The sequence below is a fragment of the Homo sapiens genome, chromosome 1 (assembly GCF_000001405.40).
Source record: "Homo sapiens chromosome 1, GRCh38.p14 Primary Assembly".
Classification (NCBI taxonomy): domain Eukaryota; kingdom Metazoa; phylum Chordata; class Mammalia; order Primates; family Hominidae; genus Homo; species Homo sapiens.
In genome coordinates this window covers 27207876-27223636 of record NC_000001.11, presented here as the reverse complement: position 1 = coordinate 27223636, position 15761 = coordinate 27207876, and the positions used below count along the sequence as shown (strand labels likewise).

The 15761-nt window shown below is 43.5% G+C and overlaps 1 pseudogene; it reads right to left on the bottom strand.

The window, feature by feature from the left end:
- SNRPEP7 (SNRPE pseudogene 7) lies at positions 12156–12442 on the bottom strand (annotated as a pseudogene).

The window sequence follows — 15761 nt, the reverse complement described above, 5'->3', positions numbered from 1 at the left end:
GCCATGGGTAGTTTTCTTAAGAAATGATGGGGCCAGGCGTGGTGGCTCACGCCTGTAATCCCAGCACTTTGGGAGGCCAAGGTGGGTGGATCATGAGGTCAGGAGTTCGAGACCAGCCTGACCAACATGGTGAAACCCCATCTCTAGTAAAAAAACAAAAAAAAGAAAAAAAGGAAGAAAAGAAAAGAAAAATAAATGATGCTAGAGGCTGAGCACGGTGGCTCACGCCTGTAATTCCAGCACTTTGGGAGGCCAAGATGGGTGGATCACAAGGTCAGGAGTTCGAGACCAGCCTGACCAATGTGGTGAAACCCCATCTGTACTAAAAATACAAATTAGCCAGTTGTGGTGGCAGGCGCCTGTAGTCCCAGCTACTCGGGAGGCTGAGGCAGGAGAATCATTTGAACTCAGGAGGCGGAAGTTGCAGTGAGCAGAGTTCGCGCCACCGCACTCCAGCTTGGGCAACAGAGCAAGACTGCATCTCAAAACAAAACAAAACAAAACAAAAAAAGAAATGATACTAGAACAACTGGACATCCACATGTAAAAAATGAACTGAACGCTATGATTTGAACATTTGTGTTCCCCCAAAATTAGTATGTTGAAATCCTAACCCCCAAAGTGATAGTATTAGGAGGTGGGGCATTTGAGAGGTGATTAGGTCACGAGAGTAAAGCCCGCATGAATAAATGCTCTTATGAAAGAGACCCCAGAGAGCTCCTTTGCTTCCTACTGCCATGTGAGGACACAGCAAAAAGATGGTACATATACCAGGAAGTGGGCCTTCACCAGACTTCAAATCTGCTACAGCCTTGATCTTGGACTTCCCAGCCTCAAGAACTGCAAAAAATAAACTTCTGTTGCTTATGAGCTATCCAGTCTATGTTACAGCAGCCCTAAGAGACTAGGACATCCAGACACTAACTTTATAACTTTGACAAAAACCAGCCAGGCGTGGTGGCTCACAACTGTAATCCCAACACTTTGAGAGGCCAAGGCGGTCAGAGAACTTGAGGTCAGGAGTTTGAGACCAGGCTGGCCAACATGACAAAACCCTGTCTCTACTGAAAATTCAAAAAATAGCTGGGTGTGGTGGCGTGTGCCTGTAGTACCAGCTACTAAGGGGGCTGAGGCAGGATAACCCCTTGAACCCGGGAGGCAGAGGTTACAGTGAGCCGAGATCGCACCACTGCATTCCAGCCTGGGAAACAGAGCAAGACTCTACCTCAAAACAAAACAAAACAAAAACACTTTCACAAAAATTAACTCAAAGTGGATCATAAACCTAAACGCAAAATGCAAAATCACAAACTTCTTCAAGATAACATAGGAGAAAATGTAGGTGACCTTGAGTTTGATGTTAAATTTTTAGATCCATGAAAGGATAAATTGCTATGTTGGACTTCATTAAAATTTAAAACTTGCTCTATAAAAGATGTTGTTAGGAGAATGTAAAGACAAACCACAACTGGGAGAAAACATTTGCAAAAGACAAAGTACTCTTAAAACTCAACAATAAGACCAGGAATGGTGGTTCATGCCTATAATCCCAGCATTCTGGGAGGCCAAGGTGGGAGGATTGCTTAAGGCCAGGAGTTCAGGACCAGTCTGGTCAACAGAGCAAGATCATGTCTCTAAAAAAATTTAAAAATTTGCCGGGCGCAGTGGCTCATGCCTGTAATCCCAGCACTTTGGGAGGCCAAGGCGGGCTGATCATGAGGTCAGGAGATCGAGACCATCCTGGCTAACATGGTGAAACCCCTTCTCTACTAAAAAATAGAAAAAATTAGCTGGACGTGGTGGTGGGCGCCTGTAGTCCCAGCTACTCGGGAGGCTGAGGCAAGAGAGTGGCGTGAACCTGGGAGGCGGAGCTTGCAGTGAGCCGAGACGGTGCCACTGCACTCCAGCCTGGTCAACAGAGCGAGACTCTGTCTCAAAAAAAAAAAATTAAAAAATTAAAAAAAATTAGCCAGGCATGGTGGCGCATGCCTGTAGTCCCAGCTACACCAATTACCTGGAAGCCTGAGGTGCATCACTTGAGCCCAGGAGTACAAGATTGCAGTAAGCTATGATCATGCCACTGCATTCCACCCTGGTCGACAAAACAAGACCCAGTCTCAAAAAACTAAAACAAAGCAAAACACCAAAAAACCTCAACAATAAGAAAATAACCCAATTAAAAAATGGGCAAAAGGTCTAAACAGACATCTCACGAAAGAAAATATACAAGTGGCAAATAAGCATATGGAAAGATGCCAAACCACATGTCATTAGGGAATCATAAATTAAAATGAGATACCACTACACACCTATTGGAATGGCTAAAATCCAGAAAACTAACAATAACAAATGCTGGCAAGGCTATGGAGCAACAAAAACTCTCATTCATTGCTGGTGGAAATGCACAATGGTACAGCCACTTTGGAAGACAGTTTGGCAGTTTCTTTTTTTTTTTTTTCTTTTTTCTTTTTTTTTTTTTTTTATTGATCATTCTTGGGTGTTTCTCGCAGAGGGGGATTTGGCAGGGTCATGGGTCAACAGTGGAGGGAAGGTCAGCAGACAAACAAGTGAACAGAGGTCTCTGGTTTTCCTAGGCAGAGGACCCTGCGGCCTTCCGCAGTGTTTGTGTCCCTGGGTACTTGAGATTAGGGAGTGGTGATGACTCTTAATGAGCATGCTGCCTTCAAGCATCTGTTTAACAAAGCACATCTTGCACCGCCCTTAATCCATTCAACCCTGAGTGGACACAGCACATGTTTCAGAAAGCACATGGTTGGGGGTAAGGTCACAGATCAACAGCATCCCAAGGCAGAAGAATTTTTCTTAGTACAGAACAAAATGAAGTCTCCCATGTCTACTTCTTTCTACACAGACACAGCAACAATCTGATTTCTCTATCCTTTCCCCACCTTCCCCCTTTTCTATTCCACAAAACCGCCATCGTCATCATGGCCCGTTCTCAATGAGCTGTTGGGTACACGTGCCAGACGGTGGGCAGTTTCTTACAAAGCTAAAAATAGTCTTACCCCACCATCCTGCAATTGCACTCCTAGGTAAATACCTAGGAGTATTTACTAGGGTAAATAGTAGTTTATTTACTTTAATAAATACCCTAATGGACCAAAAAGACTTATGTCCACATAAAAACCTGCACATGAACATTTATCTAGCTTTATTCTTAATTGCCCCAAACTGGAAGCAGCCAAGACGTCTTTCAAAAGGTGAATGGATAAACAAACTGTGGTACATTCATACAACGGAATGTTATTCAGTGATAAATGAGCTATCAAGCCACAAAAAGATATGGAGGAAACTTAAATGCATATTGCTTTCTGAAAGAAGCCAGTCTGTAAAGGCTTCCTATTGTATGATTGTAAATACATGACTTCCTGGAAAAAGCAAAACTGTAGAGACAGTAAAAAGATCAGTGGCTGCCAGATGATCAAGGGGAAAAGAAGGGGAGGGATAAAAAGAGGATTTTTAGGGCAGTGAAACTATATTATGTGATACTATAATGGTGGATATGTGACATTATGCATTTTTTTCAAAACCATATTGCTATATGACACAGTGAATCTTAATGTAAACTATGGACTTCAGCTAATAATAATAATACATTCATATTATGATTAATAATAATATATCCATGTTGGTTTAATTAGTGTGGTACAAATGTACCACACTAATGTAATATTAATAATAGGGGAAACTGTGAGGGAGGTAGTGGAAAGGAGGTATATGGGAACTCTACTATCTGCTCAGTTTCCTGTAAATCTTTCTTTTTTCTTTTTCAGACCAAGTCTCGCTCTGTCACCCAGGCTGGAGTGCAATGGCACGATCTCAGCTCACTGTAGCCTCCGCCTGCTGGTTCAAGCAATTCTCCTGCCTCAGCCTCCTGAGTAGCTGGGATTACAGGCACCTGCCACCATGCCCAGCTAATTTTTTTTTGTTTTGTATTTTTAGTAGAGATGGGCTTTTGCCATGTTGGCCAGGCTCTCAAACTCCTGACCTCAGGTGATCCGCCCGCCTCGGCCTCCCAAAGCGCTGGGATTACAGGCATGAGCCACTGCACCCAGCCAGTTTCCTGTAAATCTAAAACTACTCTAGAAAAAGAAAACACAGTCGGGCGCAGTGGCTCACGCCTGTAATCCCAGCACTTTGGCAAGCGGAGGTGGGTGGATACCCGGAGGTCAGGAGTTCGAGACTAGCCTGGCCAACATGGCAAAAGCCCGTCTCTACTAAAAATACAAATATTAGCCAGGTGTGGTGGCTCACACCTGTAGTTCCAGCTACTCAGGAGGCTGAGGCACAAGAATTGCTTGAACCCGGGAGGTGGAGGTTGCAGTGAGCCAAGATCACACCACTGCACTCCAGCCTGGGCAACAGAGTAAGAGTTGGTCTCAAAAAAGAAAAGAAAAGAAAAAAAGAAAAAAGAAACACACATGCACATAAATAAATAAGTAAATAATAAAACTACTCTAAAAAATAAATTCTCATGGTGGCTAACACCTACAATCCCAGCCCTTTGGGGGCCGAGGCAGGTGGATTGCTTGAGCTCACGAGTTCCAGATCAGCCTAGGCAACATGGCAAAACCCCCTCTCTACAAAAAATACAAAAATTAGCCAGCTGTGATGGTGCATGCCTATAGTTCTAGCTACTCAGGAGACTGAAGTGGGAGGATGGCTTGAGCCTGGGATGGCAGTGAGCCAAGATTGTGCCACTCAGTCTGGCCTGGGCTGTAGAGCCAGAAATTGTCTCAAAAAACAAAAACAAAAACAAAAATAAATAAATAATTCTATTAATTAAGAGATATACAGTGGGCTGGGCATGGTGGCTCATGCCTGTGATCCCAGCACTTTGGGAGGCCGAGGCAGGCAGATCACCTGAGGTCAGGAGTTCCAGACCAGCCTGGCCAACATGGCAAAACCCTGTCTCTACTGAAAATACAAAAATTAGCTGGGCGTGGTGGCATGCGCCTGTAATCCCAGCTACGCGGGAGGCTGAGGCAGGAGAATCACTTGAACCTGGGAGGCAGAGGTTGCAGTGAGCTAAGATTGCGCCATTGCACTCCAGCCTGGGAGACATGAGTGAAACTCTGTCTCAAAAAAAAAAAAAAATAAGAAATATACAGTGGTTTTTGCTTTTTGGCAAAAATCTGTTTTTTAGGCTGCATTTCTTTCTTTCTTTGTTTTATTTTTTTGAGATGGAGTCTCCCTCTATTGCCCAGGCTGGAGTGCAGTGGTGCGATCTCGGCTCATTGCAACTTTTGCCTCCTGGGTTCAAGTGATTCTCCTGCCTCAGCCTCCCGAGTAGCTGGGATTACAGGTGCCCACCACCACACCCAGCTAATTTTTGTGTAGTTTTTTGTTTGTTTGTTTGTTTAGTAGAGATGGGATTTCACCGTGTTGGCCAGGCTGGTCTCAAACTCCTGACCTCAGGTGATCCACCCACCTCAGCCTCCCAACGTGCTGGAATTAAGGCATGAGCCACCACACCCGACCTACATTGCATTTTAATGCTGACAAAGATGAGGAAGGATGGGCAACCTTACATATTGCTAAAATACAAAGGCAAACCAAAAAGGGGGAGAAGATATTTACAACACATATAAATACCCATGTATTCAGGATATACTGTATAAAGAATCACTATAAATCAATAAGAAAAAAGATGACTCTAGCCAGGCTTGGTGGCTCAAGCCTGTAATCTCAGCACTTTGGGAGGCTGGGGCTGGTGGATCACCTGAGGTCAGGAGTTCAAGACCAGCCTGGCCAACATGGTGAAACCCCGTCTCTACTAAAAATACAAAAATTAGCTGGGCATGGTGGCGGATGCCTGTAATCCCAGCTACTCAGGAGGCTGAGGCTGGACAATCGCCCAGGAGGCGGAGGTTGCAGTGAGCTGAGATTGTGCCACTGCATTCCAGCCTGGGTGAGAGAGCGAGACTCTCTCAAAAAAAAAAAGAAAGAAAAGAAAGAAAAAAGATGACTCGATAAAAAACGAGCAAGCCGCTTGAACAGGAACATCACTGACAGAAAATTCATATGATCATTAAACATATGAAAAGTTTATCAATCTCAAGTCATGAGAGAAATACAAATTAAAAGTACAATGACAGCTCACTACTCACCTATCAAAATGGCTAAAATGTAAAATATTGACACTACCAAGTTTTGCTGAGGATGTGAAGCAACTGGTACTCTTATTCACTGTTTGTAGGAGTGTAGAAGAGTACAATCACTTTCAAAACTATCTGACAGTATCAAATAAAGCTGAACACACATATGCATATCCTACACTCTAAGTGGATTGTGAATATGTGTTCATATGTATACCAAGGTATGCACAAGAATATTTATAACAGCCAACGCAACCATCACAACCAGAAGTTGAAAACAACCCAAATGATCATCAATAGTAGAGTGGATAAATAAATGTGTATATAAATTGCAGTGTTATTCATACAGGGGGTTACTATACGGCAACAAGGAGAAAACTACTACCACATGTAACTATCTAGAAGGATCTCACAAACATAACACTGTAGGAAGAAGTCAGGCATGCTTCCTCCTACATGATTTCATTTATCCAGCTTGACCTTCCTAGACCTAGCTCATTTAACAGCCGTGTAGTATACCACGGAGTAAAGATCCCATAAATGTTGTTTAACCATTCCTGTATTGATAAACATAAACATTTAGGGTACTTTCAGTGTTCTTTGCAATTTTAAAAAATGCTACAATGGGATTGATTTCAACTTCCCAAACGGGACACCTTCTTGTGAGACATATTAAGCATTTATATATTGGATAAATAAATATAGATTGGAACTGGGTGTGGTGGCTCATGCCAGTAATCCCAGCACTTCAGGAGGCCGAGGCAGGCAGATTGCTTGAGCTCAGGAGTTTGAGATCAGTCTGGGCAACATGGTATTCCATCTCTACAAAAAATATAAAAATTAGCGGGGCATGGTGGTGCGTGCCTGTAGTGAAGGCTACTCGGGAGACTGAAGCAGGCAGATCGATTGAACCCAGGAGGCTGAAGCTGCAGTCAGTCATGACCGTGCCACTGCACTCCAGCCTGGACAACAGAAAGAGACCCTGACTCGGAAAAAAAAAAATTGGATAAATCTCTTATTCCTAGGAAATAGCATGTGATATCTTGTAATATTTGATTCCAGAATTTCAACTGATGGTCAGCAGCATAAGCAAATGTCTGCCGGTAAAACAGAGTTTGGCAGACAGGTGTTAATAAGGAGATTATCTTGGCTACAGCCGAATTTCCCAGGAGATCAGTCTGGGTAGCGGAGGTGAGGCCTAATGGAAATAATTGGAAAGCCCATATGAAGAGTTGAGATTATATCTCCACATGCACTGGGGCGTCTGAAAATGCCTGATCGGGGAAATGCATTCAGTCATCAGAGATTCACTAAATACCCACACTGCATCAAGCACTGAACTGGGTAGAGATCAGGCTCACAAAGACAAAAGGCACTGGTTTCCTAGATACTCATAAGATAGTGACAAAGATCAATACATCTATGATCAAAGCAATAAATTCAGTGAGTTTTGTAGAGGTTTATGTAGTTTGTCCACAGGAAGGAGCAACAGACTCTGTCCTAGGGAGAGAGAGTCAGGGAAGGGTTTAAGATGAGCCTCAAGTTTGATAGTCGAAAACTTAAAGCATGACATGAAGTTAGAAACACTGAGAACTTTAATTTGTGCAGCAGCAATGAAAAAAAGAAACTCATAACTGACATTCAGGAAGTGGCTACCTTCCTAGGTGAGAAACAGAGTGGCTCTGGGAAAGGGGAGAGAAGGAGGTTTACTTGTCATTCCTATACCTTTTAGTACTCTTTTTTTCCTTTCTTTTTTTTTTTTGAGCCAGAGTCTCACTCTGTCACCTGGGCTGCAGTGTAGTGGCATGATCTCGGCTCACTGCAAACTCTGCCGCCTGGGTTCAAGCAATTCTCCTGGCTCAGCCTCCTGAGTAGCTGGGATTACAGGCGCCCGCCACTATGCCCAGCTAATTTTTTGTATTTTTATTTATTTATTTATTTTATTTGTTTTGAGATGGGCTCTCGCTCTGTTGCCCAGGCTGGAGTGCAGCGGCGCGATCTCAGCTCACTGCAACCTCCGCCTCCCAGTTTCAAGCGATTCTCCTGCCTCAGCCTCCCCAGTAGCTGGGATTACAGGCACCTGCCACCATGCCTGGCTAATTTGTTTTTGTGTTTTTAGTAGAGACGGGATTTTGCCATGTTAGCCAGGCTGGTCTCAAACTCCTGATCTCATGTGATCCGCCTGCCTCGACTTCCCAAAGTGCTGGGATTACCGGTGTGAGCCACCATACTCAGCCAATTTTTTTGTATTTGTAGTGGAGACAGGGTTTCACCATGTTGGCCAGGATGGTCTTGAACTCCTGATCTCGTGATTTGACTGCTTCAGCCTCCCTAGTACTTTTTTCCTAAGTTTTTAAACTTTTTATTTGCATATTTTAAAAATTGTGCATTCCAAGGCCGGGCTCACTGGCTCACGCCTGTAATCCCAACACTTTGGGAGGCCAAGGCAGGCAGATCACTTGAGGTCATGAGTTCGAGACCAGCCTAGTCAACATGGCCAAAGCCTGTCTCTACTAAAAATACAAAAATTAGCTGGGTGTAGTGGCATGCGCCTGTAATCCCAGCTACTTGGGAGGCTGAGGCAGGAGAATTGCTTGAACCCAGGAGGCAAAAGTTGCTGTGAGCCAAGATCGAGCCACTGCACTTCGGCCTGGGCAACAGAGCAGGGCTCTGTCTCAAAAATAAATAAATAAATAAATAAATAAATAAAAATAAAAAATTTTACATTCCAATAATTAAAAGCATTTGAACAAAATAATGGTACTCTGATTAAAATGCATTTTACAGCCTACACCTACTTTTGAATTTTACACATGCATTGGTAATTTGTCCAAAGCTCTACAGCAAAGTCTGTGTAACTCTGATCCATGGTGTTAATCATTATGCTAGGCTACCTCCCAAGTAATAATCTCACGCCTTGTCCACTTGGAAGGCAAAAGAGAGGTGGTTGAGATTTGGTGGCACTGACTGTGATGATGAAGGAGACAGAACTTAAATAAAATCCTTAGTTTGAACCGTGGGTCACTGCAGAAGGATAATGTCTGTGAAGGTTGATTATATGAATTGGGTCATTTTTGTCATACCCAACTAAAACAGGGTTGAGGAGCTGAGGGGAAAAGCACTCAGGACACATTTTGTTCCAAAAATGTAATTCTCTGAAAGCCTGGCTGCTGAAAGTGTCTATTGTCACCTAAAACCAGTTTTATCTAATAGTTGCTGGAATGACTCTAAAACTAATTTTACCCACTGCCATCACTCACCAATCAAAGTGAGTGTGGCAATCAAAAGTTGCCAGCTCCCCAGAACCTTACTAGTGCCAATGAACTTTCTTTTTTTTTTTTTTTTTTTGAGATGGAATCTTGCTCTGTCACCCAGGCTGGAGTGCAGTGGTGCAGTCTCGGCTCACTGCAACCTCTGCCTCCCAGGTTCAAGCAATTCTCCTGCTTCCGCATTCCGAGTAGCTGGGACTACAGGTGCCCACCACCACGCCCGACTAATTTTTGTATTTTTAGTAGAGGCAGGGTTTCACCATGTTGGCTAGTCTGGTCTCGAACTCCTGACCTCAGGTGATCTGCACGCCTCGGCCTCCCCAAGTGTTAAGATTACTGGTGTGAGCTACCATGCCCAGCCAACTTTCTCTTTGTTGGAGACAGGGTCTCACCCTGTCACCCAGACTGGAGTGCAGTGGCGCAATCATAGCTCACTGCAGCGTCGACCTCCTGGGCTCAAGTGATCCTCTCACCTAAGCCTCTGGAGTAGCTGGGACCACAGGTGCACATCACCAGCAGCTAATTTTTAAATGTTTTTGTAGAGATGAGGTCTCACTCTGTTGCCCAGTCTTATCTTGAACTCCTGGGCTCAAGCAATCCTCCCACCTCGGCCTCCCAAAGTGCTGGAATTACTAGTGTGAGCCACTGCACCTGGCCAAAAATTTTCAAAGAGCAATACATTTCTCTTTTTAAATAAAATCTCCAACCTTCTGTTTGTTCTTCAGACATACTGAAGACTACCCTGTCTGCATATATGCCCCAAATTACAATTCTTTCTTCACAAATAAAATGTTAAATTTAGAGATTCATCTCTACATTTTTTTGTTTGTTTGTTTGAGACATAGTCTCGCTCTGTCGCCCAGGCTAGAGTGCAATGGCATGATCTTGGCTTACTGTAACCTCCGCCTCCTGGGTTCAAGCAGTTCTCCTGCCTCAGCCTCCCAAGTAGCTGGGATTACAGGCGCACACCACCACACCCGGCTACTTATTTTTTTTTTTTCTTTTTGTATTTTTAGTAGAGACGGGGTTTCACCATGCTGGCCAGGCTGGTCTCAAACTCCTGACCTCAGGTGATCCACCCGCCTCGGCCTCCTAAAGTGCTGGGATTATAGGCATGAGCCACCACACACGGTCTACGTTTTTATTTTAACTTCAAAGTGTTAATGACCATAACGTGGACCCTGTGAGAATCTATTGGTTTGGAAAAGAAGATGATGAGTTTGCTTTGGAAAGGGTGAATTAGAAATTTGGGCCGGGCACGGTAGCTCAAGCCCGTAATCCCAGCACTTTGGGAGGCCAAGGTGGGCAGATCACGAGGTCAGGAAATCGAGACCATCCTGGCTAACACGGTGAAAACCTGTCTCTACTAAAAATACAAAAAAAAATTAGCTGGGCATGGTGGTGAGCACCTGTAGTCCCAGCTACTCGGGAGGCTGAGGCAGGAGAATGGTGTGTACCTGGGAGGTGGAGCTTGCAGTGAGCTGAGATTGCACCACTGCGCTCCAGCCTGGGCAACAGAGCAAGACTCCGCCTCAAAAAAAAAAAAAAAAGAAAAGAAATTTGGCAGAAACATTTAGACAAAGATGTCCTGTAGTCCATTCCTCCAAGACCTTTTCAGTGGGTCTGCAAAGTCAAAACAATATCCATAATAGTGCTAAAAAGTTATTTGCCTTTTCCACAGTGGTTCTCTCATGAAGGTACAGTGGAGTTTTCCAGAGGCTACAAGACAAGTGATTATATCAATCTCATGACTAATGGTATCTGTGCCTGAGTATTCCTGTGAAATTTTTTCAGTTTTAATTCCAGTATGGTAAATATCAATAGACATAATCTACAAAAAACAGACATTTTTGGAGGGTTCTCAATAATTTTTAAGATTGTAAAGGGGTCTTGGGACCACAAAGTTTCAGATGCTCTGCTAGTCAACAGTTTTCGACCTCTTTAACAATGTCTTACAAAGAGAAATCCATTTTACATTGTGACCCAGTATCCACGTATATATGCAGATGTGTAATTGAATAAGAGTCTCACAAAACGGTATTCTGGTGCACTATTTGGGATGCACCGGGTGTTTTCTATTTCGTCAAAAAAATTAAATTGCTGATAATGGCTCACTAAATTGATTTCATGACCTGCTAATGAATAATGACCTGCAACTTGAAAAACCCTGCTCTAGGGTATAGATGAGTGGAAATATGGAAGGAAGCTGGAGCATGAGGAGGAGCCATTCCCCACAGAATGTGGTATACACTTCATATTTGTGGAGGAAGTGGATGGATGCATGGTTCCTTGAGTTTCCAGTTCTCCAACTGTGTAACCTTTGCAAAAAGTTAGAATGTTATTGTGAGGATCAAATTTTAAAAATGCAGGTGAAGTCTCTTTGTATACCGTAAAATACTACACAGAGAAGAGGGATTGCTGTTAGAAGAAGATGATAGAAAGTCTAGGCCGGGCGTGGTGGCTCACGCCTGTAATTCCAGCACTTTTTGGGAGGCCAAGGCGGGCAGATCACCTGAGATTGGGAGTTCGAGGCCAGCCTGACCAACATGGAGTAACACCATCTCCACTAAAAATACAAAATTAGCCGGGTGTGGTGGCGCACACTGGTAATCTCAGCTTCTCGGGAGGCTGAGGCAGCAGAATCGCTTGAACCCAGGAGGCGGAGGTTGTGGTGAGCTGAGATTGCACCGTTGCACTCCAGCCTGGGCAACAAGAGCGAAACTCCGTCTCAAAAAAAAAAAAAAGAAAAGAAAAAAAAGAAATATCAACCCAGTTGTTTTCTTGACTTTGTTTTAGAATGAATCCCTTCTGCATCATCTAATACAAGGTTTATATATTCATCAAAACCAATGATACAGCCTTCTATCCGCATATTCACTTGCTCATAGAGCCATACCTGAATCCGGGATCTGTTTTGTAAATATCTGAAGAGAGGTTGATGGGCTGTACCATAACCTTCTGCACTTTCTGGCCCTGGCTGCGGTACACCGAAATGAAATCTCACAAAGAGGACACTGACCCACACGCTACCTCAGAGAGCAACTTCCAGAATAATAACTAACATTTCTTGAGTACTTACTGTTTGCCTGGTATGGTGCTAAACGTCAGTAATAGATGTTTAACTCATTTAATCCTTACCACGGTTTTATTGTGTGGGCACCGTCATGGATTGTCATTTACATACAAGGAAACTGAGGCTCAGAGAGCTAAGATAATTTACAAAGTTACGTAGTATAGTGGACTTTATTTTCTTTCTTTCTTTCTTTTTTTGTTTTGTTTTGTTTTGTTTTTTATAGATATGGGGTCTTGCTATGTTACCCAGGCTGGTTTTAAACTCCTAGGCTCAAGCGATCCTCCTGCCTCAGCCTCCCAAAGTGCTGAGGCACCATGCCCAGTCCCAGACTTCAAATTTTTGTTAGCTTGTTTTTCTATCCAGCATCTGATCTCTTTTCTTCTTTGAAGAACACCTGGATTTTCCTTAAGGGTCCATGCCTCCCACACATTCAGTCCACGAGGTTTGGGGAACTTGGCTTCACCTCCTGGATTCTAGGCTGCATATGTAAGTTTCCTACAACAATGGCAAAGAGGTATCTCTTTCCTCTGGGCTGGTAGCTATGAGGATATAACCCTGGAGCTACCGTAGCCACCTTGCCAATGCTGGGTGGGAGGTCACCTGAGGACAGATCAACGCAGAGCAGAGCTGCGATGTTGCAGGGTGGGAGGTGCAGGAGGGAGCAAAGGAGAGAGATAGAGAGAGCTGATGACAAACTTTGAGCTCTCAGATCCACCCTGAAGACAGATACCCATGAACTTTTTAGTTAGAAGAGCCAGGACATTCCCTTTTATGCTTAAGTCAGTTAATTTAATTTAGTTATTTAACAAACACTTATGCAGAACTTACTAAGTGCCAAGAACTATTGTAGGCACTATACAAATATCAACTAATTTAGTCTTCATGACAACCCTATGAAAGGAGGTAATATAATTATTTTCATTTTATTTATTTATTATTTATTTATTTATTTGATACAGAGTCTCTCTCTCCCTCTGTCACCCAGGCTGGAGTGCAGTGGTGTAATCATGGCTCTGCCACCTGGATCTCTTGGGGTCAAGCGATCGCTCCAACTTAGCCTCCTGAGTAGCTTAGGACTACAGGTGTGTGCTATGATGCCTGGCCTTTTTTTTTTTTAACTTTCTTTTTCTCTCTTTTTTTTTCTTTTTTTAGAAAAGGAGTCTCACAATGTTGCCCAGGCTGATCTCAAACTCCTGAGCTCAAGTGATCTTCTTGGCTTGCCCTCCCAAAAGATTACAAGCATGAGACAGTGCACCTGGCCATAATTTATTTTTTAAATTTTGTATAGAGACAAGGGTCTCGCTATGTTGCCAGGGCTGGTCTCGAACTCCTGGTCTCAAGCAATCCTCCTACCTTGGCCTTCCGAAGTGCTAGGATTACAAGCATGAGCCACCATGCCCAGCCTATTTTCATTTTAAAGATGAGAAAACTGAGGCACAGGGAAGCTAAATAACTTGCCTGGGTCTTTGTTGGGATGTTTACTTTTGGAAACTAGCCAGGATTTGCTCTCGTTCCAGATCCCAGGCGCTGAATCCTTTGCCAGTATTTCTTAAACGCTCCTCATTTACCTTCCATCTTTATCATTATGACCATAGTCACAGACCTTCTACCAGGGCATCCAATCTTTTGGCTTCCTGGGCCATACTGGAAGAAGAAGAATTGTCTTGGGCCACACTAACTAAACTAAACACTAACTAAAATACACTAATGATAGCTGATGAGCTTAAAAAACAAAAACAAAAACAAAAAACTGTCACCCAAGCTGGAATGCGGTGGTGTGATCTCAACTCACTGCAATCTCTGCCCCCTGGGTTCAAGTGATTCTCCTGCCTCAGCCTCCCGAGTAGCTGGGATTACAGGCGCCTGCCACTGCACTTGGCTATTTTTTGTATGTTTAGTAGAGACGGGGTTTCACCATCTTGGCCAGGCTGGTCTCGAACTCCTGACCTCGTGATCCGCCTGCCTTGGCCTCCCAAAGTGCTGGGATTACAGGCATGAGCTACCGTGCCTGGCCTAAAATCTCATAATATTTTAAGAAAATTTATGAATTTGTGTTGGGCCGCATTCAAAGCCATTGTGGGCCGTATGCAGCTCACAGGACACAGGTCGCAAGTTGTACAAGTTATTGTTTTTTTTGAGACAGAGTCTCGCTGTGTTGCCCAGGCTGGAGTGCAGTGGCTCAATATCAGCTCATTGCAACCTCCGCCTCCCAGGTTCAAGCGATTCTCCTGCCTCAGCCTCCTAAGTAGCTGGGATTACAGGCACCCACCATCACGCCCGGCTAATTTTTGTATTTTTAGTTGAGATGGGGTTTCACCATGTTGGCCAGGCTGATCTCGAACTCCTGACCTCAGGTGATCCACCCGTCATGGCCTCTCAAAGTACTGGGATTACAGGCATGAGCCACCGCACCTGGCCTGACATTAACTTTTTTTTTTTTTTTTACTTTATTAAAATATTGAGTTTTATTTCACAGGCATATTTTTGTCTTCCCACAATTTCCATGTCTGACCACCGCTACTACTATGTCCTATCATAACATTCCATACATATTTAAAACCAAGCAAAGGGTGAGTTCCATCTTTAAAAACTAAACAGGCATTTTGGACAACACATTCTTGGCAATGGAACCTGGACAACATTTATCAAACACGGTAGGGAAAGTTCTCACTCTGCATTATAAAAAGGACAGCCATGTGACTTTATAGCAGCATGCTGCTATAAAGTCACATGCACACGTATGTTTATTGTGGCACTATTCACAACAGCAAAGACTTGGAACCAACCCAAATGTCCAACAATGATAAACTGGATTAAGAAAATCTGGCACATATACACCACGGAATACTATGCAGCAATAAAAAATGATGAGTTCATGTCCTTTGTAGGGACATGGATGAAGCTGGAAACCATCATTCTCAGCAAACTATCGCAGGGACAAAAAACCAAGCACCGCATGTTCTCACTCATAGGTGGGAATTGAACAATGAGAACACATGGACGCAGGAAGGGGAACGTCACACACTGGGGACTGTGGTGGGGTGGGGGCAGGGGGGAGGGATAGCATTAGGAGATATACCTAATGCTAAATGACGAGGTAATGGGTGCAGCACACCAACATGGCACATGTATACATATGTAACAAACCTGCACGTTGTGCACATGTACCCTAAAACTTAAAGTATAATAGTAATAAAATTAAAAAAAACTTTAATGGAAAAAAAGATTTTATTCAAATTAAGTGAAATATTTTCTGTATAAAATAAATTTTGCAATTGCCAAACAAAAGTAAAAAAAAAA